This window comes from Homo sapiens, chromosome 3 (assembly GCF_000001405.40).
Source record: "Homo sapiens chromosome 3, GRCh38.p14 Primary Assembly".
NCBI classification, from domain to species: Eukaryota; Metazoa; Chordata; class Mammalia; order Primates; family Hominidae; genus Homo; species Homo sapiens.
The window spans coordinates 54,206,247-54,233,753 of NC_000003.12; the positions used below are offsets into that span (position 1 = coordinate 54,206,247).

Sequence of the window (27,507 nt, forward strand, 5' to 3'; positions counted from 1 at the left end):
TCTGAACAATGACAGTGCTGGCTGAGGGTCCTGAGGCTATGAGACACTGAGAAACGGTGGCTCTGTCTGTATGCTCGGGGATGAGGTCAAACAGGTTTAACCCAGGGGAAAATTTTGAGCTGAGCTCAGATTATTATGAGGTTAGAAGACTAAAACTCTATTGAGATGGTGTTTAAAAGAGTTCTAGAGACTCTGTGTCCTGGGAGGAAGGTCTCATTACTACTGGCTTTTCCAAATTATAATGGTTCTCTCCCTCACACGCATTCTCCTGAGGCATATTGATCAGCCTTAAAAACTCAAACAGTGAAACCCTGCCGCGACCCAACCTTGAGAGGGTGAGGCTAATGCTAAGCTATGTAGCAGCCATGTTGCACTAAGCTATACCAGTAAGCTTAGTTTGGTATACTGGTGAGCTATACTAGTAGGCTTACTTTTATGCCAGTAAGCTATACCAGTAAGCTTGGGGTTTTTATTTCCTTCCTGCATTTCCTTTTCCTGTTTCCTTTATTTAGGGATTTGGCTACTTCTGATAAATGAAGATTCATATAATAGCTGAATTAGTCAGGGTAACTAACTCTGGCTGTTGAAACAACCCCTAAATTTCAGGAACTTAACATAATACATAATTTATTTCTTGGTCATGACTATCTGATGCAGTTCTCTTCCAAGGAGTGACTTGGGGACCTGGGTCCCTCTCATCTGTAGGCTCCATTCTTCCCTAGGGACTTCCTATAGCCCCTGACAGGGCATACTCTGCCAGTCAGCCATGAACAGTGACTAGACACAGGGTAGGTGATAATGTGGTAGGAGTCAGGCCTGCTTCTGCTGCCACTCACTGGCCAGAATCCCTTCATCTGGCCTTAACTTCACTGCAGAGGAGGCTGGGAAATGTAGTCTTCTTGGGTGCTCAGATAGAATGGGCCTTCTAGGCAGTGTCTGCCACAAGAGCTAATATGTGCTGAGTGCTAATTGTATGCATGGCAACAAATTAATTTACATGTACAGTCTCACTAATGCTGGGAGACGTGTGCTAGGGTCTTCATCTTCCTCACCAGAAAAGTGAAGCTCAGAGATATTGCCACTTGCCAAGGTCACACAGCTAGCAAGTGGCAGAGCTGGGCTTGCCCGTGACCTGGAACCACTGTGTCCTCTGTGTGATTTGACACCACTGTAATCCGGGTGGATACATTATGCTTTTAAGACCATTTAAGACCAAGTTGAAAATCTCTCTTGGACTTATTGGTAGGTATTTTTTCATGTTGTACCTGAGGCTTGGAGGGATACATTTCTCTCCCTTGCACAAACCCACTGCTAACCTTCCTGGATGAATGGATGTTGGTGTAAGATTCCAGGTAGCAGTCTTCCAAGCCAGCAGAGAGGAGAAATGTGCATTTGTCTGAGTTACCTCGGGAATGTCACGGACTGGGCTCTGTGCACATTCCACCATATGGGGAGTGGGCCATGGAGCGTGGTCACTAGGGAGTGAGGAGGGTGCTTATGGCAGGAGGGGAAAGTGATGAATCTCTTCTCTGTGTCACTTCATCATGGGAGCCACGAGATAGGGCCGCTTGTCAGCAAGCATTTCCACAAGATTACTTTGGATTAGCTATCTCGGTGCATCTATTCTCATGACACTTATCCATTATCCAGAAAAGTGATCTACAGCCCAGCTGGCTGAGTGACTGCCTCAGTGTGAATCCACATCCCCTGCCACTCGAGTCCAGTGATTCATGTCCCCTTTGGAAGTTTGAACAGCTCAGTGTTGTCGATTTGATTTTGTGATACATTTCTTACTTTTCTAAAATGGGTGAGTAGTGAGTGTGTTCTGGTGCTCTGTTTGTTGTTTGATCTTGTTCATGGAACTGCCTTTCTTTTTGAGATGGAGTTTTGCTCTTGTTGCCCAGGCTGGAGTGCAATGGTGCGATCTCGGCTCACTGCAACCTCTGCCTCCTGGGTTCAAGTGATTCTCCTGCCTTAACCTCCTGAGTAGCTGGGATTACAGGCTTCTGCCACCATGCCTGGCTAATTTTTTTGTATTTTTAGGAGAGATGAGGTTTTACCATGTTGGTAAGGCTGGTCTCAAACTCCTGACCTCAAGTGATCTGTCTATCTCGGCCTTCCAAAGTGCTGAGATTACAGGTGTGAGCCACCACACCTGGCCAGAACTGCCTTTCAAGATGTGGGTTTGCTTCAGGTACCTGCCTGATAGAGCTGGTTTCCAATAGCCCTGGGCTGGAAGGCACTTATGGTATGGAATTGTCAATCTCTGAATGGCCTCTGCCTTGGCCCTGGAGAGCCTGCAGTTCTGACTAGAGACTAGGGAGGCCTAGTCCCTGTGTGGCCTTACCAGTGCCAGCCCCTTGTCACTCTCAGGTGTCTCTCTTCTTGATGGAGTATAGCCGTGCTTCTTTTGTTTTGGACAGGCACATCCAGTTCTGGTCTATATGGGTCTGCTTTCCTTGTTTTAGAGCATCACTGTGTAGGTGGTCATTAAAAAACCTTTTTTTTTTCAATTATCACAATGTATTTGGTGTTGAGAATGTGGTGAGGAGGTATATTAGTCAGTTTTCATGCTGCTGATAAATACATACATGAGACTGGGCAGTTTATAAAGAAAAAGAGGTTTAATGGACTCATAGTTCCATGTGGCTGGGGAGGCCTCACAAACATGGTGGAAGGCAAAAGGCACATCTTACATGGTGGCAGACAAGAAAGAATGAGAACCAAATGAAAGGGGTTTCTCCTTATAAAACCATCAGATCAGAGACTTATTCACTACCATGAAAACAGTATGGGGGAAACCACCCCCATGATTCATTTGTCTCCCACGGGGTCCCTCCCACAACATGGGGGAATTATGGGAGCTACAATTTAAAAAGAGATTTGGGTGGGGACACAGCCAAACCATATCAGAAGGGAAGTCTCAGAATGTGGTCAGTTCACTGGAACCAAGGACTCACATAATTTTTGGAAGATTTCAAGATAGGCATCGAAATAATTGGAGACCCTGGAGGATGTAACAAAACAAGATTGGGAGGTCATTTGTGTCCTTAGAAGAGTTTTTCAATAAAGTCAGTTGTCCAGCCAGCCTCACCCTCCTGGCCCTTTGTGTCTGACGATCTTGCTGCAGACTCACACTCTAACTGGGGCTGGGTCTCATAGATGTGAGAGAACTTTCAACAGAACTTTCAGCTAATGAAAATAGAGGTCAAAAGTAATTATCCCTGTACCGATTCTGTACGGAGTGAGGCTGAAAGGAGTTCACGCATTAAATTACATTTTCAGTGTTCTGTTCCAAACGTATGCTCCTTTACAACTTTATTTAAAGAAAAGCGTAATGTGAAAGGCTTTTAACTCTGATGGAAGAAAGACAGGAGCCGTAGTCAGTAATGGTAGAATCTCTCATCTCATTGTCTGCTCCAAGAACAAAGATTTTTCAAACCTGGACTCAAGCAGTTCCCTTGGATTATATTAATGGAACATAACCTTAATAGCCTCCTCCAGAGGATGTTCTAAAGTATACGTTGGCTGTCTAGAAACGTCTTTGATCTTAAACTTTTTATTATTTTGCTGTATAAATTTTCTGTGCTCTTTTTGCCACCACCATGTCATCAGATATCTAAGCAGTTTGTTTAGAAATCGGAATCCCTTTAGAGATGAATGTTGCATGTGTATCTCTTTTAGTTTATGGGGATGTTTGAGAATGGATTTGGGGTAGATTTTACACATATTTATAGGGCATCTACTATATACTGTTCCAGGCCTTTAGGATCTCTCAGAGAACAGAAAAGAAGATCCATACCTTGATGGGGCTTATATTCAGTGAGGGGAAGGCAACAAGCATGATAAATAAGAAAACACAACGTTTGTTAGAAGGTTATAAGTGATATGGAAAAAAAGTAGAGCAGTAAGGAGGATGTGGGGTGGTGGGGAGAGGAGTGTATGAGCCCAGAGGTGGCACCTGTGGCCCGGCCTCTGAGCTGTGACTTTCTATCATGTCAAACTAGGATGATGAGAAATTACATCTAAGGTTTGGGAACAATGAGGTGACCTTCTTTTAAGAAAAACTGTCCAGTAAGTTTAATCAAACAGTTCTTAGGTAATAAGATTGCCTAGTGTACTTCCTTGTAGGGAATTAGCAAATCTATTTTAAAAATCTATACACTGTGCAAAGTTTTTGTGTGTGTGTGTGTGTTTGTGTGTGTGTGTGTGTGTTTAAGATAGCTCATACTGGTGTAAGAAAAAATATGTTTAAAAATCTGGGAGTATATGTGAACTTGGTAAGGTCACCGGACTTCTGCAGACTTAGTTTCCTCATCTGTTAGACAAGGATTGGGTGCTGGAAGAGTAGATGAGGTAATGGACTTGGAAAGACAGTGAAATGCGGGCCATCATGTCCTGGAGGGAAGTGTCCTGGGATTGGCAATAATTTACACAAGCGCCTGGGAGAGTTTATTAAGTGTGTGGAGATTTGGTCTCCTCAGCCTTCTGTTGTTCATTGTTCCCCTGAAGAGTCTGCCATCCAGGTTTACCCTTGTGCCTCCCTGACCTGTGCTGAGACTAAGAGTCAGGCAGAGAGAGGTGGTGAGTTCTGGTAGTCCTTGGTAATGTGTAAAACACTGCCAGGCTGCATCCTGAGAAGGGGGACTGGGTACCCATGTTTTAATGGAGGGATATGTTAACTGGACTGGATATATAATGACAGGGTGTACATGAATATTGTTTAACTTTTAAAAGAGGTAGTATATATATGTCTTAAGCGTCAAACAGGTATGAAAAGGAACACAGAAAGCTCATCTCTCACCTCTTTTCCCTTTGTCCAATAATCACTCTCCATCCAGATAGGTAATAATTGATATTAGTTTATCCTTGTGGATATATGTGTATACAAAGACAAGCTACTACTAATATATATTCTTATTTCCCCTCTTTTTTTTTAACATGTGATAGCACACTATACATGTTGCTACAAGCTTTGCTTTTTTTCCATTTAAGAATACATTTTGGAAGTCTTCCAATATCAAAGCAAACACTTCCTTGGTTCTTTTTATAGCTGCACAGTAGGACATTGTGTGAATGGTTGTTATAATTTTAACCAGGTCCCTTTGAGAGACTTGTCTTGTGCTCTTATCCACAGTGCCGCCATGAATACCCTGCACATACATCATTTCACCTGTGGGCACTTTTATTTTAGGATAGATTACTGGAAGTGAAAATGTAGGGATAAAGGCTGTGTGTGCTGGTAATTTTGATAGATCCTGCTAAACTGACTCTTAGATGGGTTGCAGCAGTTAATACCCCTACCTTGGAACCTTACCCCTGAATGACACCATTACCTGCTCCTTACTACGTGTATTCTTTAATACAAAACTTAATTAGACTCATATTTTTTGTAAAGTGAATACTTTCTTCCTACTATTCTTAATTGCTGTCCTTAGTCGACAAGGACTCACTACTTTCATTTTATCGTTCTCTGTCGTTTGCTTCTTTACCAGTGTACGTAAACATCTATGAATTAATGCTTTGTGAAAGGGAAACTGTTATTTAAAGATATGTAAGAGTTATTTTATAAAAATATATTATAAAATGTAACTTATTTTACTTCCCCTAGTTTTTTACATTTTAGGTTTTTAGGTATTAGATTTGTTTTAAAAATGGAGAGCAAGGTGCACAATGAAGCAAAGGCAAAATTGAAATAATATGAGTTTATTTAGCTAGTAAGACTGCAGAGAAGGGACAGAAATCTCAACTTCACCCACCTCTCTCTTGCCAAGAAACCCTGAGATACCTTGAGGAACAGAAGGCTCAGGAAATGGAAAAAAAAATCCTGACCAATAGTTACTAGTTTAGAGTTGTGAACCCAAAAGTATCTGAGACAGGTCTGAATCAACATAGAAAATATATTTTGCCAAGGTTAAGGATGGACCCGTGACACAGCCTCCGGAGGTCCTGATGACATATGCCCAAGGTGGTCGGGGTACAGCTTGCTTTTACGCCTTTTAGGGAGACATAATACATCAATCAGTATCTGTAAGGTGTACATTGGTTCCATCTGGAAGGGCAAGACAACTCGAAGTGGTGGGACAACTTGAAGTGGTGGCAGGAGGGAGCTTCCAGGTTATAGGTAGATTTAAACAATTTCTGATTGGCAGTCGGTTGTAAGAGTTAAGTTATTATCTAAAGGCCTGGAATCAATAGAAAGGATTGTCTGGGTTATAATGATAAGGGGTTGTGGAGAACAAAGTTTTACCATGTAGATGAAGCCTCTAAGTAGCAGGCGTCAGAGAGAATAGATTGTAAATGTTTCTTTTCAGACTTAAAGTCTCTGTTGATGTTAATGCTGGTTGGCTTTTCCTGAATTCCAAAAGGGAGGAGGGTATAATGAGGTGTGTCCGACCCCCACTTCCTATCATGGCCTGAATTAGTTTTTCAGGTTAACTTTGGAATGCCCTTGGCTGAGAGGGGAGGGATCCATTTAGATGGTTGGGGGTGGGAATGCCTTAGAATTTTATTTTTGGTTTACAGAGTCAGGAATGTCTGTCTTGTACTCAGAGCTGATGGAGGGCAGGGAGGGTTCAATCTCTGCCTTCAGGCTTCAGTTTCCTCAAGTGTGAACTGGGGATACTGACAAGACCTGCCCCACAGGACATTCTAGAGGATTAATGAGATGATGCTGGAATGTGGCGAGCACATTCCAGGCCTCCTAATTGCCCTTCTCTATATGTGAGCTCATGTATTTCCATGGTTCCTCACAAGTAGCCTTTAATCTGTGCACATCAGGTGGGCTTCTGAGCTGATGAGCCAAGGTCAGAATCTCCACCATCAATTGTTTATTGTGACCAATAAACCAGATGACCCCCCTTCAGTGGCTGGAAAGGGTGACTGGAGCTAATGAATGCATCCACAAATGGCTCTTGATCACTGAAACTGGGTCAAATTTCCTTCCTTTTGGAAAATGCCCAGGTAATTTGCTTCCTGAAAACCTATTTTATTTCTTTTAACCTTTTTGGAAGGCTGTTAATGGGATAGTTTAAATAGAAATAAGAAAACCTCTTTTCTCCAGGCCTTCTCTGGTTGTTTTAATTAGTACATTTCTATGATGTTACTGTGGCTATTCACCAGTATGGCTTTGAGCCATTAAAGGCCACCCCTCCTGCCTTAACCCCCGGGGAACATCGATAATACAGGAACAATTGCTCTCTCAGTATTCTTCCTTAGTTGCGGCTCATCGTCCTTTACTGGATTTCTCCATCAGTATCTGTCTGGGGAGGATAACAGTCCTTTCTTTCTTCCTGTGGTCCTCACCTGAGGAGCATGCATTTCCTTGCATTGCTCAAGGGATGGTGGCTGAATTAAGGAATTCCTTGTGGCCTGCCACTTTCAGGTTGCTGAATGCAGGGATGAGATGTGGACCCACTGGTCTCATTTGACATCACAGGGGACAGAGTAAAATAGCATATTGTGCAGTTGTCAGGTTTTCTTCTAATACTAGGAAAAGATAAATATGGGGATTCATAATGCAGAACAACAGGAAGATGGAAATAAAAATGAATCAAATGAGGGAGATTATTTATGTTCACTTAGATTGTTGTGGAGAAAGCTAATGGCATTGATACCTCTGGCCTGGAGTCCCTCTTGAACACCTTGCTGATAGAGCCCATTCAGTAGGAAAATACCGGGAGGAGAGAGGCCCAGGAATCAGTTGAGTGGTTGGTCCACCACTGGGTCAACCCTACTGTAGTGGGGATGCCCTGAACCTTGGCATTTTAAGTGGAAATATGGGGATGCAGGTATTTGCTGAGATATCTTAGTTGCTGGAGGTCAGGTCTTGTTGGCATGGGGCCTTCAGAGCATCTCGTGGTGACTCATAAATACCAGAGATGCCTCTGACAGGAACAAAGCTGGCAGATTCTCATATTCCAGAAGACTCTGACTGAATTAATCAGTTTGAAGTCACACACACAAAAAAGAAAAGAGTAAGCTCAGAATAAAGAGCTTAGACCTTGAATGGGATGTGGCCACTGACCATGCCTCAATATCCAGTATTTACATTTTGTCAGTTACAAGTACTTCCACATGCCATATTCTTGATATTTTCAAGACCTTTCTTTTGCTTGGTAAATACAAAGAGGAGCTCTAAAATTGACCTTTGCATCACAACCTTCGAGGGAGACAAGCAGAGGCCCCTTCTCCCTGGTCCCTAAGGGACAAGATCTGGAGCCAAAGGGCAGGACCTGGTTAGTACACAGTGGGCTGCCCCTGAAGGTAGGTTGAAGAATTGAGTAGATTTTATCTCCTGTGGTCCTCATCACTGGTGAACCAGTGCTTTTTGCTGTAGATTGCATGAGGAACTGACAGAGAGGTGTGGTTGGTGCTCCTATTGTTTTAAACAGCTCAGTTAGGTGCTGAAGCATCCTGCCAGGGTGTGGAGAGGATGCCCCAGCACAGTCAGGAAGAGGCAGCTCTGATATATCCCTGTCCTGTGCCAGTGTCTAGAGGTGACAACGCCAGACCAAAATGACAACACTGGTGTTTTCATGTCTTATCACACCAAAATACTGGTAGTAAGGACAGAGTGAGACGTGCTCACCATGGTTCTTCCCATTTGGAGCTCAGGGGTTGAGTGCAGCAAGGGCTGAGATACAGCACCCAGGCCCTTTGCCCTTTGGCTGGAGTCTTTCCAGTAAGCCTGATAGGGGAAAACAGTCTTGAATAAAGCACAATACCCCAGAGTAGGGGTCCTCAGATGTGACATCTTCCAGGCGTCAGTCAGCTGAGATGTGGCTGTGACATCATCCTGTCCCCTCCCAGGCCCTATTGTCCACACTCTCCAAGTTGATGTCAGCTCCTCAGGAGAGTAGCCATGGGAGCCTAGGGCCTTTTGGGTTGTGGAGAGAGAGAAAAGTTCTGTCCCCATTTTATCTTCATTCAAATATCCTACCCCCCAGCTTTATTAAGGTATAATTTACAAAATTGTATATATTTATGGTACACAATGTGATGTTTTGATTAATCTGTGTCTACATTATGAAATGATTAAAGCAAACTCATTAACATCTCCATCACCTCACATACTTCTCATTTTTTTGTGGTGAAAACATTTAAGATCTACTGTTACAGCGTTTTTAAAGCATACAATACAGTATTATTAACTATAGCAGCTATTCTGTGCAATAGATCTCCAGAATGTGTTCGTCGTAACTGAAACTTTGTATCTTTTGACTGCGTATCAGTCCCCCCATTGCCTATTAAAATTATTACACACATGTGGGTTTGGCCTTTTGATTTTAGAAGCCAAGATCTAGCTTGTCTTTGTTCTCTGGGTTTGCCATGCATTGCCCAGGAAATGTTCTCTTTTCCAAGTGAACGGCGATGTGAGGGTGGGAGGTGGGGCCATGCATCCTTTACTTTTTAACCTGTTACTCAGCCGCAGTGCTTAGAACAGGCTTTCACATGGAATTTCCAAAGTCACCGGCTCACAAAATCACCCTAGTGCCCCTAGGTGTGAAATTTATTTCCTCTGGTCTCAGTTGCCGGAAGAGAAGTAAGGATAATGCAGGGAGGCATTCATGCCTGGAAACCTATCCCATTCAAGGGCTAAGCTCTTTATTCTGAGCTTACTGTTTTCTTTTCTTTTCTTTTTTTTTTCTTGTGACTTCAAATATCCTTTCTCTTATGGAACGATCGTGATTGTGGAAGGTATGCATGTGTATGTGTACATGTGTGTCCTCTTTAATGTTCTTAGTTGGTTAAATAAAAACCCGTCAGTCCTGTGTTGGTCCCCCGAATTAGGTGGTCTTCACTGTTCTTGAGCGGCTGAGCCCTTTGAGAGCTTGTGCGCTGTGTTCCTATGTATCCTCTGACACTACCCTGCAATTTTAGTTGTACGTGTGTGTGTGTGTGTGTGTATGGTGGGGAGGGACAAGGCAGAAGCACAGTTCGAGAAGCCTGACACCCACTCTTTGCAGAGGGTATTTTACAACTAAGGAAGCACAGGCTTTGAGAGATGGAATCTTTGTATTGTGAACTACCAAGCTTTTTGGTATCAATCTTCTTGCAATAATACACTTCACGTTTCAGTGATGTTTAAAAGTGCGTGTTTTGATTATCTTTAAGTATTCCAGGTATATGTGTGCTTTCTATAATAATAAACAGAAGCCAATACTTGCATACTGGTTGAAATCTGGTGCTTTTTAAAGTTTGCATGGACAGGTTGTTATCCAGTTGCCATCCAGCTTGTCCACCAGGTGTGTTAGGGATGGGCTGTGAGCACCAAAGTGCGAGGCCTATAGTGGAACTGATAGAGTAATATCAACATTTTAAACTAATTAGATGAGGAAAAAGCATTTCACAGAAGGCGTGATGGCTTCTTGCCCTCCAGCTGGAAGGTGGCAGAGCATAATTGGAGTTAGAAAGCTTTTTACCATCAGTGATTTAACTGAGCACACTTGAAGGACACCCAGGAGTAATGCATTAACTGTTTTGTTTTTGTCAAAAATAAGCCCAGGTGTAAGACGGGACTCCTCAGCCAGAACTTAAACCATCCTAGTAAGGAGAAATCAGGAAACCAGCCATCTAGCTCTTATTTTTTAGAGCACCTGCTTGTGTGTGCTTTGAGGATGCTGTGGGGCCAAGTTCAGCCAGGGCCCCTTATTTTGTGGAACTTCTGTTTGGTGGGGGGAGATAAAGAAGAACTAAGTAGAACTCAAAGAGTAATTCCAGGCGGTGACAAGTGCGTGGAGAAGGTAAACTGAGGCAGCGAGTGCTGTTAGATGGTGTGGGGCGGTGAGAGGCAGCCTCCTGACTGAGGAAGGCCCACGGGACTGAGAGATAGGAGCAGCCCAGGTGAACAGTGAGCAAGGCACAGTGTGCAGTGAGCAAGGGAGAGGGCTGCAGATGGGGCCTGGGAGGGAGGAAGGAGTGTGTTTCTGGTGCGATGGTGAAGCAGCCAGAGGCGTGTTCAGCAGAGCAGTGACCTTATGGGGACAGGCATGGTCTCTGGGCCCAGGGGGGCTGGCTTGGGAGCCTCTGCCGCCTCCTCCTCCCTGCAGCCTCAGCCAGTGGCAGTGTCCCTTCCCCTGGGTTCTGTCTGAGCTGCCTCCCACCCTGCCCTGGGCTAGGGAGTTGATGGACACCATAGTAGGCTGGACATGACCACCTGGAGATACCAAGTCCTAATCCCTGGAATTTGTAAAGGTTATCTTATTTAGAAAAAGTGTCTTTGGAGGTGTAATTAAATATTGTGAGATGAGGAGATGACCCTGGATTATTCAGATGGGCCCTAAATGCTCTCACAAGTATCCTTTTAAAAGAGAGGCAAAGGGAGATGCAGACACACAGAGACGAAAGGGATGTGAAGACAGAGGCAGAGATCAGAGCGAAGTGACTCCAGCTGAGGAACAGCAAGGAATGCCAGCAGCCACCAGAAGCTGGAAGGGGTGAGGAATGGATGCTGCTTTGGAGGGAGCCTTTGGAAGGAACATGGCCCTGCTGACATGTTAATCTAAGATGCATGGCCCTCAGAACTGGGAGAGAATAAGTTTCTGTTGTTTTATGTCAACAGTTTGTGGTAGTTTGTTACAGCAGCCCCAGGAAATTAATATAGGCCTGAGAGACAGAGAGAGACAGAGAGAGAGAGAGACAGGTGTTAGGGAGAGAGGTGTGTTAGAGAGAAAGAGATGTGTTAGAGAGGTAGAGAGAGAGGTGTGTTGAGGGGGGTGTTTTAGAGAGAGAGAGGCGTGTTAAAGAGGTGTTAGAGGTGTATTCGGGAGAGAGAGAGAGGTGTGTTAGAGAAAGGTGTGTTAGAGAGAGAGGTGCATTAGAGAGAGGTGCGTTAGAGAGAGAGGTTTGACTCCCCAAACTCCTGGAAAGCCCAAGGGTGATGGAGACCACGCTCCCACTTTGTGGGACTATCCCCTTCACATCTCTTCTCTTTGTGCTTCAACCAGGCCTGGCTTAACAGTGGGCGTCTCCCACTGTCACACCCCAGGGGCTGGACTGGCCACCTCTTGTGGATAAGGGTGGCGTGCAGGTGGACTGTGACCACCTAGACTGGCACATGCATGGGGCAGCTGCATCCGTCTCAGCTGATGCTGCCCTGTGGGATGTGGGACCAGTGGGGTCAGATGTCTAGTTTTCTCAGACAAGCCTGAAAAAAATATGATTTGTTTTAAAACATGACCTGTCTTGGTATTGAAAGCTGGCTTAAGTTTTTAAATCTGCAGGTCCAATTTGACCCTAGGGTGAGGTGAAGGGTTCTGTTTTGTAACTTCTGTCTTACAGTTTTTATTTCTCCTAGATGTTAGCATATTAACCCCCCAACACATTTGTATGACTTGGGACAGGATTTTAGTCAGTGTGTTAGTTTCTTTTTGCTGCTGTAACAAATATCACAAACCTAGTGGCTTAAAGCAACATGAATTTATTATTTAGTAGTTCTAAAGGTGAGAAGTCCAAAATTGATTTTATACAAGGACTAAAATCAAAATGTCAGCAGATCTCTGTTCCTTCTGGAGGCTCTAGGGAAAAAGATATTCCTTGCTTTTTCCAGCTTCTAGAGGCTGTCCTTGGCTTGTGGTCTCTTCCAGCGGTGGCATTACACCAGCCCCTGCTTCTCTCTCCTTCACTGTCATCTCCCTCTCTCTTATAAGGACCTTGTGACTACACTGAGTCCACCCAGATAATCCAGGATAATCTCCCTATCTCAAGATCCTTAATCCCATTTGCAAAGTCTCTTTTTTCATGTAATATTACTTACATATTCACCAGTTCTGGGGATTAGGACATGGACATCTTTGGGGGTATATGGTGCCCTCCACAGTTAGTGACCCATATTTTCCTGTAGATCTCATGCCCTGCATATGAAAACCTCTTATGGCAGCCCTGTCTCTCTCTTACCCACTTCAATGCATGCTGGAGCTGCCTCGTACCAGCTCTCAAGAGCTGATTGTGCTTATCTTTTCCCAATTTTGTGTTCAGTGAAGTGACTTCATGTTGGTAGCTTGAAGGTGGCCAGAGTGAAACTATTTACACCTTGGAAGTCAGCAAATGCTATGGCTCAGGGCTTCCTACCTCTCCCCCTACTCTTTAACCTGGAGAGCTGGACACCATTGACTTGCACCTATTCATTTGGGCTGGGATTCCTGCCTTTTGGGATATCCGCTCTGTTTTTCTAGGGACTGCCATCTCATGTTTGGGGAGATGAATGTGGATGTTTAGAAGCATTATGGATACCTCCTTATGGAGACCTTTATTGACATCTGCCTGAACTCTGTAGGTTTGGATAGTGAACCATGTACCCCTTGGGTTTCTCTTCCTTCGGGGGGATTTTTGCTCATTTCTACTTGGCATTACAATCTTTTTTTTCTTCTCATACAAGGGACGCGTTACTTATGTACTGGCTTTCAGCAGGTGACCTCCCTGCATAAGCATTTTGGGCTTATTTCCTGTGTGTTTCAGTGTTAGAGGACCTTCCGGATCCCTCTCTGTGTTTTGACATGGATAGATGGTGTGTTGGTGCATTTGTGTGGTGGATTTAGTCCTGTTGAAAGCTTGGTGGTTGTGCTCACTCATAATCTGCAGAGCCTGGTTGAATAGGGCATATCTGGAAACATGCTAACAAGGTGGTGGCAATTAATTAAGAATTCTTCTTAATTAAAAAAAAACTACTATCTTTCCTTACTAACCGAGAGATACTTGTAGAATAAATATTCAATGAAAACCTCAAGCCTGTTTTTGCACTTGGCATTTTATTGTGCTAACTGTGCCTTTTGAATCTCTAAAATTGTGTTTGCTCTTCTGTTTCTTAATGGAATTTCAAGCAACGTTTTGATTGAGAACTTCCATACAAAGGACTGCTTAAAATATGAAAAAAATTGTAGTTTTTTCCTTTTATGTCAATAATTGGTTAATTGTTTCTTGGTGGGTCCTAAGAATGTGTCTTCCAACTTCATTTCAGTCGGTCTGCTCTGATAGCACCAGTATTTTTCTCGCATGGATTGCAAGCGCATTTGAGACATAATTGCTCTTATCAGTTAGGTTTTCAGTAAAGTCTCATTAATTAAGCGTGTGATTATTATCTAACATTCCCTGTATATAGAAAGTTTGTTAAAATAAGTTTTCAAAAAATGAAAACTGACCAACATACAGGTGAATTTACAAAAGCTGAGATGCTAATGTAGCACTAAAAGAATGACAGATGATCAGCTTAGAAAACGAAGCCACACTCGAATGGGACAACTGGGTCCAAAAGGGCTCTCTAGCTGGAGGACTAGCAGGGCTCAGGCATGTGAACTTCTGCCTTAGTGCTCTTCCCACCATCCCAGCAGCCTCTTCCAGGCTGGGCAGCCTGGAGCCTCAGCACCCCCACACCTGCTGCTTCCTCTGCATGAGGCCCTTCCTCTAGCTTCAGGTCTTAGCCCCCATCGTCCCTGTCCCAGGAAACCCTCCCTGGCTACTGAACCACTTGTCTCCTCCTGTAGCTCTGGTTACAACCGTGACACGTTTGGGCTGTCACCTCTTCTTCCCTGTCTTCTCTCCAGAGCCAGGGCTGAGGGTGTCCTGCTCAGCTATGCTGCTGAGTCCAGCACAGTGCTTGGCCCAGAGTAGGTTCTTAGGGATCATTTATAGAGTGCGTGACTGAGTGGCTTCCTGCCTTTCCTGCTGCTGACCCTAGGCTCATCTAAGATGCTGAGATATTATGCTGAATTTGCCTACGAGGCCTTGGGTGGGAATGGAGGGGGTGAGAAAGTAGGTGGCTGGCTGGAGGTGAGGAAGAATTTGCTATTCAACCAGCAGACATTTATCCTGTCTCCTCCATGCCAGGCACAGGCAAAGCGCTTTGAGTGCATTTCCGCATTTCATTTTCACAACCACCCCAAGAGGTAACCTTTAATTTATGCTGTAGATATTAGCACCCACCTGTGGCAGGCATTTTGTTGAGTGCTGAAGATACAGTAATTAAAATCCATGAGTCTTTGACTTCACGCAGCACATACTCTAAAACGTTCAAATGTTAGTGGTGAGAGGGTGGGATCGTGGGAATGGTACCGTCATGACTAAAAATTCCAATTATTTAGTTTCCATTTGAGATTACCAGCATATTTTATGATTATAGTTTATTCTACTTTGGATATTTAAAGTTGATTAACTCAGCCTCTTTCACAATTATTTTCACTAGGTACTGTCATAATTTTGAATGTCTAACTGGTAGCTTGCCTTTAACAAGAACCATTTGCGGTTGTTCCAAATGTGAACATTACATCTCTAAGAGAGTTAATCCAAATTGAAACCTGCTGAAATACATGAATTATTAAATTAACATATTATAGATTAGGTCATTGTTTTGGGGAAGTTTTACTAGAGAGATTTTTGTAATTTTTAAATTCCCATGCCAGTACCCAAATTCACAGATGCTAAAGTCTTTCATACAAATTGGTGTTGTGTTTGTATATAACGTATGTACCTTGTCCCATATACTTTTAAGTCATTTCTAGATTACTTATAATAACTAATGGAGTGTAAATGCTATGCAAATAGTTGATACATTATATTTTTAGCTTGTTTTTAAAATTATTGTACAGTTACTTTTTATTTTTTTTTCTGAAAAAAAATATTTTTTTGAGATGAGGCATTCTTCTGTCATCCAGGCTGGAGTGCAGTGGTGCAATCATAGTTCACTGCAGCCTTGAACTCCTAGGCTCAAGTGATCCTCCTGCCTCAGCCTCCCAAAGTGTTGGGATAACAGGTGTGAACCACTGCACCTGGCCCTCAATATTTTTGATCAGTAGTTGGTTGAACCCACGGATGCAGAACTTGCAGATACAGAGGGCTGATTGTATTATGCTTACTTATTATTTTAGTTAAAAATTTGTATTTGTGAGAGTTTTTCAGAGAAGCAGAATCAATATAAGGAATGGGCTTATGCAATTACGGAGGCTGACAAGTTTCAAGATCTGCAGTAAGCAAGCTGGGGATCCAGGATAGCTGATGGTGTAGTTCCAGTCTGAGTCTGAAGCCCCCAGAACCAGGAGAGCTGGTGATCTATTTCTTTCTGAATGCTAGTAGGCTTGAGACCCAGGAAGAGTTGATGTTTCAGTTCAAGTGTGAAGGCAGGAATAAGCCAATGTCCTGAAGGCAGGAATAAACCAATGTCCCAGCTCAAGGCAGTGAGGCAGAAGGAGTTTTCTCTTATTCAGCCTTTTTGTTCTATTGAGGCCTTCAACTGATTGGATGAGGCCTATGTACATTAGGGAGGGCAATCTTCTTTACTGAGTCTGCTGAGTCAATGTTGACAAATAAAACTAAACACACTAACCCTGTGCCCCAGTCAAGTTGACAAATAAAACTAAACATCACAAAATTGTTTCTAATCCCACTACAATGTCTTTATTGACCTTAGGGTCATTTATAACACTCAGTTTCTAAACATTTGTGGAATTTTCTATTTCATAAGTTATTGATTGCTACCTTAATATCACTCTGATCAAAATTTATTCTGATTTCAATCCTTTGAACTTTGTGAAATTATGATATAAATCAATAGTGACAACTTTTCTGAGTCTCTGTTTGTGTTTTTTATTTTAAGGAATACGTAGTTAAGTTTTGATTTTTAAGAAATCTGTAATATTTTTAACTTTTAGAGAATTTAATGTACTTATAATTAATGGAATTACTGATATGTTTGAGTTTAAATGTCATATTATTGTTTTTCATTTGTCCCATATGTTCTGTGTTACTTTTTCCTCTCCATTCTTGCTTTGTTTTGGATTAATCAAGCATGACTTTATTCAGATTTGTTTACCTTTACCACCTTGTTAATTAAATCTTCTTATTTTATTCTTTTGATGCTTACCCTAGATATTACAAAGTGCATATTTAACTAGTTTAAGGTACTTTACTGTATTCATAGGTTGTTCAACAATGGGCATATGTTCTGAGAATTGTGTCGTTAGGTGATTTTGTCATTGTGCAAACATTGTAAAGTGTACTAAACCTAGACAGTATAGCCTGCTGCACAATAGGCTGTAGTCTATTGCTCCTAGGTGACAAACCTGTATAGCACGTTACTGTATTGAATATTGTAGGCAGTTGTAACACGATGATAAGTATTTGAATATCTAAACATATGTAAATGTAGGAAAGGTACTATAAAATATGGCATAAAGGACAAAAGATGGTACACCTGTATAGGAAAATGATAAATGGAGCTTGCAGGAGTGGAATGAGGCAGTGGGGTGAGGAGTGAGTGAATGTGAATGCCTAGGACATTACTGCATACTACTGTAGACTTTATAAATACTGTACACTTTATACAAAATTATTTTTTGGCCGGGTGCGGTAATCCTAGCACTGTAATCCCATCACTTTGGGAGGCCAAGGTGGGCAGATCATGAGGTCAGGAGTTCGAGACCAGCCTGACCAACATGGTGAAACCCCGTCTCTACTAAAAATACAAAAATTTGTGGGGCGTAGTGGCACGTGCTGAATCCCGTCTACTCAGGAGGCTGAGGCAGGAGAACTGCTTGAACCCGGGAGGTGGAGGTTGCAGTGAGCCGAGATCGCACCATTGCACTCCAGCCTGGGTGACAGAGCGAGACTCTGTCTCAAAAAAAAAAAAAAAAAATTATTTTTCTGACTCTAATAATAAATTAACCTTAGCTTACTGTAACTTTCTTCTTAAAAGCTTAAATATTTGAAGCTTTTTGACTCTAATAACAGCTTAAAACACAAACCTATTGTACAGCTGTAAAAAATATTTTCCTTTTTATATACTTACTGTATATGCTTTTTCTATTAAATTTTTTTTTTACTTAAAACATTTTTTGGTTAAAAACTAAGACACAAGCACACACATTAGCCTAAGCCAACATGGGGTCAGGATCATCAGGATCACTGTCTTTCACCTCCACACCTTGTCCCACTGGAAGGCCTTCATGGGCAGTAACACCTAGAGAGCTGTCATCTCCTGCGATGATAGTGCCTTCTTCTGGATACCTCCTGAAGGACGTGCCTGAAGATGTTTTCCATTTAACTTTTTTTTTTAATGAAGTAGAAGGAGTACACTCTAAAATAACATTAAAATTACAGTATAGTAAATACGTAAACCACTAACATCATTGTTTATTACCATTATCAAGTATTATGTACTGTACGTAACTATATGTGCTATACTTCTGTGTGATTGGCATTGTAATAGGTTTGTTTACACCAGCTTGACCACAGACGGGTGAGTAACGCATCGCACTACAATGTTACAACACCTGGGACATCACTAAGTGATAGGAATATTCCAGCTCCATTATAATCTTATGAGACCACCGTCGTATATGCCATTTGTTGTTGACTAAAATGTTGCTATGCAGGGCATGACTGTATATGAATATTTCAAGAACCTTGGAACACTTTCACTTCTTTTGCCTCTCTCTTGTCTTTCGTGTTGTCATGTATGTCAGGTCTCTCTTGTTTTAAATTCCTATTAGATATTAAACTTTAAGATATTATTCTTATTTCATACAAAGTGTGTTTAGATTCACATACACATTTACCTTTTTGGTTGCTCTTTATTCTTTCTCATGTTTCAGATTTTCATAAGGGATAATTTTCTGCAAATTTCTATGGTGGTACTAATGTCAGTTAAAAAAAAAATCTACCCTGCTTAGATTCCCGAAGCTTCCTGAATTTGTGACTGAATATCTTTTTTTTTTTTTTTTTTACTTTATATATATACTTTAAGTTCTAGGGTACATGCGCATAACGTGCAGGTTTGTTACATATGTATACATGTGCCATGTTGGTGTGCTGCACCCATTAACTCATCATTTACATTAGGTATATCTCCTAATGCTATCCCTCCCCACTCCACCCACCCCACAACAGGCCCCAGTGTGTGATGTTCCCCTTCCTGTGTCCAGGTGTTTTCATTGTTCAATTCCCACCTAAGAGTGAGAAGATGCGGTGTTTGGTTTTTTGTCCTTGTGATAGTTTGCTGAGAATGATGGTTTCCAGCTTCATCCATGTCCCTACAAAGGACATGAACTCATCATTTTTTATGGCTGCATAGTATTCCATGGTGTATATGTGCATGACTGAATATCTTTTATCACCTTCTGAAATTTCTTAACCACTGTGTTTTTAAAAAGTGCTTCCTACCGGTTCTCTTTCTCATTTCCCCTTGTGGGACTCCATGAGGTTAGACCTTTTCACAATATCCTCTGTATCTGTTTTGCAGTTTCCTATATGTTTCCCATATGTTATTTTTATTGTGTGTTAATCTGAATATTTTCTGTTGACTTATCTTTTAATGCACTGACATTCTTTAACATTGTATCTGATTTACTGTTAAACACATCTTTTGTGTTTGAAACCTCTTAATTTCTCAGTTCAAGAATATTCACTTGGTTTTTCTTACAGACAACAATTATTTGGTGAAATTTACAATCCTATTTTTTTGAACCTATTAATTATAGTTATTTTAAAGCCTGTGTCTGATGACCTCAAACCTGTATCACTGGGGTTCTGTTTCTATTACGCTTTTTTTTTTTCTCTTGGCCCTGTGTATTGATATGCTCAGCAACTTCAGACTGAGTGGTGGACATTGTACTTGGAAACTTGTAGAGGCCAGGGTCTCTGCATTGATATTTCTCCAGAGAGAATTTTCTTTAATTTCCGGAAAGCACTGAGACTAGGAGCAGTGAGTTCACCTTCACCGGATTGGGGACTGAACTGACAGGAGCCTGGGTGTCAGTCTTTGTATGACTGGTCTATTTCTGACTGGCCCTTACCAGCAGGGTGTAATTCTTCAGTAGTCCAGACTGAAAGCCTGGAGCGTTTACCAGCGTTTCTCAATGTCATTGGCACTGAACTCCAGTGTTTTTCTCCCCAGCATCGTGAGACTGATGATAGGTCTGTTTCGGTTTTCTGCCTTTTGATAGCTACTCTCAGTTAAGCTGTGCTGCCTCTCTAACCATGATACTTGTCCCAGGTAAATATCAAACCCCAGGAAGAGGGAAATGGCTCAGACTGTAAGGTTATCCTCTCTGCAATTCCCCGCCTCCTGCCCCTGATGCTTTTTTTTTTTTTTTTTTTGGAGACAGTTGCTCTGTCACCCAGGCTGGAATGCAGTGGCATTATCACAGCTCTGCAACCTCCTGGGCTCAAGCAATTCTCCCACCACAGCCTCTGGAGTAGCTGGGACCACAGGCATGTGCCACCACGTCCAGCTAATTTTTTATTTTTTGTTGAGACAAGGGTCTTGATATGTTGCCCAGGCTGGTCTCAAACTCCTGGCCTCAAACAATCCTCCCACTTTTGCCTCCCAAAGTGTTGGGATTACAGGCATGAGCCACCATGCCTGGCCTGCAATTCCCTTCTTTATAGGATATTTGCCCCTTGATTCCTGGCTGCCTTGGTAGCTCTGAACTCCAATTCCTGTCTTCCAACCCTGCTAGTCCTATAACACTGCCGAAAGCTCTGTTCAGCTTCTCAGCCTTCAGCCACGTGGCTTTTGATTTATCCAGTGCCTCAAAGAGGAGAGCAATGTAGAATGTTGAGTTCACCTCAGGAAGTTTCTATTTTTTTTCCAGAAATTTGGCCTCTCAACTTCTGGCTGCCTTGATAGGTCTACAGTTCCTCCAAATACATATTATCTGTACTTGATCTAGCTTTTCTAATTGTTCTCAGTAGGAGTGTTTGTCTCCTATAGTCTAGTCCATCATTGCAGTAAGCAAAATTCAGGGATAGCTTTTACTTTTAGTAGGAAGCAGCTATGTTTGGTAGAGAGAGCTCTGAACTCAAGTTAAACACAGAATGAATCTCCTTTGTCCTGGCAGACCGGCAGGGTCATTGTGAAGATGGCAGAACATGTTGATACGTAAAATCTGCTAACAACATGAATAGAACAGTACAAATGTTATGGAAGTCACAGTTGAAAATGAACCAAGGTCTTGGGGTTAACAATATGTTACTGTGTAGGGGCTATGTTTTCACGTTCAGGATCTGGGTGTTTGGCACCGGGAGAAATGTCCAGCACCGGGATTTTGCTATGTGCTAGGCCCCTTTTTGTGCGCTTCCTGGGGATAAGCTATTAGGCCACATTTAGTAGCCTCCTAAAGTTCACTAGTTTACCCAGCTTGCAGTGTTTCATTTGCCCATGAAGTTGTTTACTTAGGGACAGAAAAAAAAATAACAAATTTTTAGTCTTTTAGAAGAGTAAAATTTGGTTTTTTGGTATTCCTCGGGAGAGTGAAGAGTGGAGAAATTTTGCAAGGGGACAAGACAGAGCCAAACATTTCAGCTATTGTCCATGGCTTTTTTGGGGAGGGGGCGGGGGGGCAGAGTCTCGCTCTGTCGCCTAGGCTGGAGTGCAGTGGTATGATCTTGGCTCACTGCAACCTCCGCCTCTCAGGTTCAAGCATTTCTTATGCCTCAGCCTCCCGAGTAGCTGGGATTACAGGCGTGCACCACTACACCTGGCTAATTTTTGTATTTTAGTAGAGACGGGGTTTCACCTCGGCCAGGATGATCTTGATTTCCTGACCTCGTGATCCACCCTCCTCGGCCTCCCAAAGTGCTGGGATTACAGGTGTGAGCCACTGCACCCGGCCTGTCCACGTCTCTTTTGGTCACCTCCCTGCTCCCTTTCATGAAGCTTGACAGAAGCTGTTCTTCTGAGCCACCCATGCTCATCTGAAGCAGAACTGACTTGCATTGGAAAGCAAATGGAGCTCCTTTCTTGGTTGAGTACTTTGTTCTTTGTTCTACCATGTTCTTTGCATGGTCTCGGTCCAGCAGAGCTCTGTGGATCCTCTTCTATTTCAATTTAAAGTTTATGTGTTTAAGGGATTTTGTGTGACCCTTTCCAAGACCAAATTTCTGCCTTGTAGCTTAGACACTAGGGACAGTAGAATAGTGGACTTTCAGAGCTTCCAGAGACTTGGTCTATTCTCCTGATTTTATAGATGAGAAAACTGAGGGCTGTTCAAAGGTTCAGTTTGGCTTCCTTCACAGGATGGTATAGCAGAAACCGGGAATCAGATCCTGACTGTGCCACTTAACTGGTTGCAATCTTAGAGAGACATCTAACCTCCGAGTGAGTTTTGATTGTATGGCCTGTACAAGAATAATGAGAAGGATGAGAATGATACCTGCCTGTCACTGAGAATTACACAGAATGCATATGAATCACCTAGGCTGGTCACCACTAACTGGTGCTAAAAAGATTAAACAAGTATTTATTGACTTGCCAGACTGTGGTGGGAACATGGGCCCTGTCTTTGAGGAGGTGGCCATGGTCTAGCAGTCATCTCTTTAGCAACTTCATGGGGATTCTAGTCTTTTATTTCACACATGAAATTCAGACCTTGAAGTCAGAACCCTGAGAACAAGGACTTGTGACCCATTTTATCTGCAACTTTATTCTTTCTCCCATTATTGCTCTCAGCAGGCCTCTCCTGATCTCCACCAAGGTGTACACTGTGGAAACTGGATAATAGCCTCAGTCTGAATTGGGAGATGACAGAATCACTGTTTCACAGAGGAATATTACTGCCTATATTGTCAAGCATGGAGTCTGGGTTTTCAATTTGGGCTTCAGACATGCCAGAGCGACACAGTGCCCTGCCGCTCTTCTCTGCATGAGCAGCTCACATTTGTTTTCATGGAAGACCCTGAGATCTTTCCAGAGGCCAGTTGCATCAGCACATTTGTGTGTCTCAGATACCTCCAGGGCGCTGGGTATCTCCCGTGGAGTCAGAGCTTCCTTTGTGCTGTATGGAAGATTCAGGAATGAATGCATACGTTTCCTAAACCAACAACACTGCTGGAAGGCTTGATTTCCTTTCTTTCTTGTTTGGGTGCTTTGTTCTACAATGGTGATTCTATTTTCCTTGATCTTTGTAAGGCCTCAAGGGCTCCTGGTTTCTATGAATTTGAAAGTATTTCAGCTAATTAATTTTTTTTTTTTTTTGAGACGGAGTCTCGCTCTGTCGCCCAGGCTGGAATGCAGTGGCGCTATCTTGGCTCACTGCAAGCTCTGCCGCCCGGATTCATGCCATTCTCCTGCCTCAGCCTCCCGAGTAGCTGGGACTACAGGTGCCTGCCACCATGCCCGGCTGATTTTTGTATTTTGTTTAGTAGAGACGGGGTTTCACCATGTTAGCCAGGATGGTCTCAATCTCCTGACCTCGTGATCTGCCTGCCTTGGCCTCCCAAAGTGCTGGGATTACAGGCGTGAGCCACCGTGCCCGGCCAAATTTTTTATTTTTTATTTTTAGTAGAGACAGGGTCTTGCCATGTTGCCTAGGCTGGCCTCAAACTCCTGGCCTCAGGTGATCCTCTCACCTCGGCCTCCGAAAGCGCTGGGATTATAGGCATGAATCACCATGCCCGGCCTAAAGTTTCTGATAAGTTAAGAAACCTTCATGGAATTTGCTATTCGGTCCCCCTTTTTTTCTTCTCTTACTCTGTTTTGCTTGCGTGACAATTCCCCAGTTATAAAAATGCCAGTTTCCCGCTAGAGTATCTGTCGTCTTGGCAGGCTTTTTATGTCATGCACCAAATTTACTGTTCTGGGACCCATTTTGTTATATCTTGTTCAGACCACTCATTTCAGTAGAAAGGGAAATTGTAATATTTGGACACCTGCAGGTTACAGAGGGCTTCCTTCCCTTCTCATCTTGTTGTAACTTCTTGTCATCTGTGTTTTTTGCCACTGCAACATACGATGCTTCTGAATAACACAGGGCAGGAGAAGGATCAGCCATGGAAAAATGTTATGCAAGTAGGAAGCGTTGCCAAAGGTAATTTTAAGTTTAAGCAAAAAAGGAAAAAAGTAAAACAAAAAGAAAAAAATAGGCTTACACACAGTGCTATTAAGTCATTTAATTGTTTTTTTTTTTTTCCATTCTGTGTTTTAAGTATTTTAAAGTCATTAGTGTTCCTAGTTTCTGGTTCTAAAAGCAGACATGAATTTAAAAGGCAGCATAGTTTTATTACAGGGAAATTATGCCAGATTTCATTTTTTTCTTTGTCTTGCCAGCAGAGTATTTCCTAGCTTCTTATTTAAGCTTCCTAAAGATGAAGATTTGAAGTTTGTGTAATTCTCCTTCCCAACTTACCTTACCCATATCCAAGAAGATGTTTTGCAACCTCATAAGAATTATGTAAGGTAATACATGTTTGAATTGGTAAATTGTGAGGGTCATTAATTTCTGAAAAGGCATAATAATTTCTGTAGATAATTTCGAAGAGAATAACTGTGATCTATGAATAAAAGGCTCATCTCAGCATGTAAATAGTTTCTGAGCCAGAGTTAGACACAGGGGATTCTAAAGGCAAACTCTGTTGGACTCTGTGGGAGACAGGTTGCAAATGTTGAGCTTCATTAAGCATGTTATACTTACAGCTCAAGAAATGCAATAATTTGTGTGAGAGATTATTCAGGCCACATGTTACCTCCACAGTCTTATAAAATTCCTTCTATTTTGCCAAGGAATCTAGATATGACGTTTTTATTTCAACAATATTTTATATAGGTAGATGTAGATAAATCTCTTTACAAATGGAGGAATTACAAATGCTAATTTGTTAAATTGAGCTGTAAACATTTTCTTTGCTGCTTAATAGGACAAAATACATAAAGATTAATTAAATGATCAAAAATTTCCAAGCTTCTTTTTAATCGTGTAAATGGGGTCTATCGCCAAAAGATATCCAGCCCTGGTAAACATGATAGATGATGATGGGGACACATGGTGACTTGGATGGACTCCATTTCTGGGTTCTGCCTGAGTGTGTTGGCCACAGGCTGTGGTTTACAAAAAATATCCCCTCTGCTAACATGTGAGCCGGGGTGTGGTGGTCAGCAGTTTGCTGTGATGTCTTTAGGGTGCCTCCCCAGGGAGAGGATGAGGGGAGTGCTTTGTGGCTGGGGATAGGGTCTCTAGGAAGTGGGTGGCTCAAATGTTATTACTGCCGCATGTCTGAGTGTTTCTGTTTGGTGAAATCCAGGGGAGCACCTTGGCTGGGTAGAAGTTCTTAAGCAGGAGTTACAAAGCCTGCCTTCTGGTCCTCACTCTGCCAGCTAATTTCATGGAAGCACAGATCCACCATACCTGCAAGATGGGGCAGTGTTACTTATTTCTCCCTTTCAGGGTAAGTGTGAGGCGCTCTTTGAAGTGATGATTGTCAGAGTTCCTTGAAAAACCTAAAGCAATGTGTTAGTTAATATGTCAGTAAATTCATCAGGTACTCTCTGAGCATCTGCCAAAGAAACAGGCCCTGTCCTGGGCCAGCCTCATGAGCATTAGGCTCACACACGTACATAACTGTGTTTAATCATGTTGTAAGGATGCTTTGAGGTGCTGCTAGAATGCCACCTTGCATCTGAAAGGGATTTTTGTCCAGTTTGTTCACCCATATATTTCTAGTGTGTAATAAACTACTATTAGGTAATTTTATAAAAATTTGTTGAATGAATGAATGTTTTTCACAAGTATTATAATAAATAATACATGGTCTTGTCAAGGCCAAGGTTATTGGTTTCATGTTCGTCATATTCCATTCCGTAGAGGCAGACAGCTGCTCACTGTCCAGCAGGTGCATGGTGAATGGAAGGGGGGTGGTCCTGGGGCAGGGTGGGAGGGGAGTTCACAAGAACCCAGGCAGCAGGGCCAAGGCTATTGCACTGGCCCTTGGCGCAGCTGCCGTTGCTTGTTCCCACATGGTATGGCTTGGCTCAGCCCCCGACTCTGGAGTCCATTGTCTCGTTATTTAAGCATAGGCATGTTTCACAGGAATGACCTCCTCTGTGGCCTTGGGGGCGGCCCCAGCTGTGTAAACACATGTGTATATGTGCATATACTTTATATATATGATACACAGGTGTGCTGTGTGTGTGTCTGTCTAACATGAGGAGTTCAGCTGCAGAGTCAAACAGATCGAGCATTCCAATCCTGGATCAGTCACTGTTGCTGGCTTTATGCTCTCAGAATGGTTACTGAATCCTTTGAAGCTTGGGGGTTTTCAGCTACAGGGAGGTGATGACAGTACCTAGTTTATAGGGTTATTGTGAGCATTAAATGGGTTGTGCTCACAAGGGTTCAGAGTGGGTTGGGTGGTAGTATTTGTAAGAGTGTGAGTGTCAGTTGTCACTGCTCTCATGTCAATACCACTTATTGTAGGATTACTATACTGGGCCCTGGGCTAAGAACCTCATGTGCATAATATTAATTTTAATAACACAACTATGAACTGAGTTTTTAAACTCAAAAGGAAACGTTACAAGCGGTGACTTGCATGAGGGTTTTTGTTTCCTTGTTTTGGTTGAAAGAGCGTCCTGAGCCCCACCCCTGCTTTGAACACATTCCCCAACTCCACCATGCTTCCAGGGTCTGCTCCTTTCTTACCAGTTTAGGTTTTTCCCTGTGTGGCTCTTTGTAAGTCTTTCCCTAATATTGGATAGCCCATTTCTTGAACTGCAGCTGTAGATCACATGAACATTTTGATTTATGGTGGCACAGGAGGCTATAACAAAGTTACAGACTTTAAATTATGCGATTAGAGTAGAAAGCCATATTGTAAACTGTGCCCTTATTGTTTGCAAAGTGTCACGCCCATCAATTGCCTTGGAGTTTGATTGATCTCCACTGGGTGCTGGCTGTCTGCAAAATGCTGTACTGTCATGATTAGTTTAACCCATCTCTACTCCCAAGGAGTTGTCAGTCTACTGCGGAGACACCAGCCAGACAAATAGTTATACGCAATAAGGTGAATGCTCTGACAGTACCAGAAAGACAAATATGGCGGGCTAAGGAGAGGAAGAGTGGTTGGGTGTGTTCAGGAAGGCCCCTCTGAGAGGGAGGCATTTGAGTAGAGACTGGGTGTCCTTTTTTCATTCACTCCACTTTTCTTCTTAGCACTTAATACCATCTGATGCTTTTATGTTCCACTCCCTCCCATCCCCAGAATATCAATTCTGTGCTAACAGGGGCTTAGTCTGTTAGCATTTACTCTCGTATCACCAGGGCCTGGGTCAGGCTGGCATGATGTGGAATGAATGAATGATAGACAGATCCATTAACTGGGAGCCACAGAACAATCACCCACAGACTGTGGGCTGCATAGAAAGGGTTACCAGTTAGGCAAGGGTGAGCACCACACAGAGGGCACAGAGCACCAATGAATGCCACAGGGACAATTCATCCGAAGGCATAGAGCCTCCAGGCACCATAAGTGGATGCGTCCGAGCATATATTTTTAAAGGCTGCCCTACCTTTTTGGCTTCTGTGGCCTTCCACACCATTGGAAACACATCCAATGACATAGCACTGGTGAAGTGGCACAGTGACTCTTTGTGCTTCACTTTCTGAAGGAGTATAGGAACATTCATTCTTTGGGACAGAATTCTTGTAGCATTAGGGAAATGAGCAATCTGAACTTCTTGGCATTCTAATCCAAGGAGGAGTTGCTTGCAAGCAAGAAATCTGAATCCCTTCACAGGTCGAAGAGAAG

The 27,507-nt window shown here is 42.7% G+C and overlaps 1 protein-coding gene across 1 annotated transcript in view, besides 3 other annotated features; it reads left to right on the forward strand.

Annotated features, from left to right (window-relative positions):
• The window catches only part of CACNA2D3 (calcium voltage-gated channel auxiliary subunit alpha2delta 3), a 952,006-nt gene that overhangs the window by 83,695 nt on the left and 840,804 nt on the right, over positions 1 to 27,507 (forward strand). The gene's annotated exons all lie outside the window — the stretch shown is intronic.
• Positions 6,455 to 7,049: an enhancer, noted in NCBI's record as "OCT4-NANOG hESC enhancer chr3:54246728-54247322 (GRCh37/hg19 assembly coordinates)". NCBI's record gives its function as "activates a minimal SCP1, AML or CMV promoter by ChIP-STARR-seq in naive H9 embryonic stem cells {active_cell/tissue: H9 hESC(naive)}" and the evidence as "EXISTENCE:reporter gene assay evidence [ECO:0000049][PMID:30033119]".
• Positions 10,461 to 10,961: an enhancer, noted in NCBI's record as "H3K4me1 hESC enhancer chr3:54250734-54251234 (GRCh37/hg19 assembly coordinates)". NCBI's record gives its function as "activates a minimal SCP1, AML or CMV promoter by ChIP-STARR-seq in naive and primed H9 embryonic stem cells {active_cell/tissue: H9 hESC(naive and primed)}" and the evidence as "EXISTENCE:reporter gene assay evidence [ECO:0000049][PMID:30033119]".
• Positions 22,535 to 23,068: an enhancer, noted in NCBI's record as "NANOG hESC enhancer chr3:54262808-54263341 (GRCh37/hg19 assembly coordinates)". NCBI's record gives its function as "activates a minimal SCP1, AML or CMV promoter by ChIP-STARR-seq in naive H9 embryonic stem cells {active_cell/tissue: H9 hESC(naive)}" and the evidence as "EXISTENCE:reporter gene assay evidence [ECO:0000049][PMID:30033119]".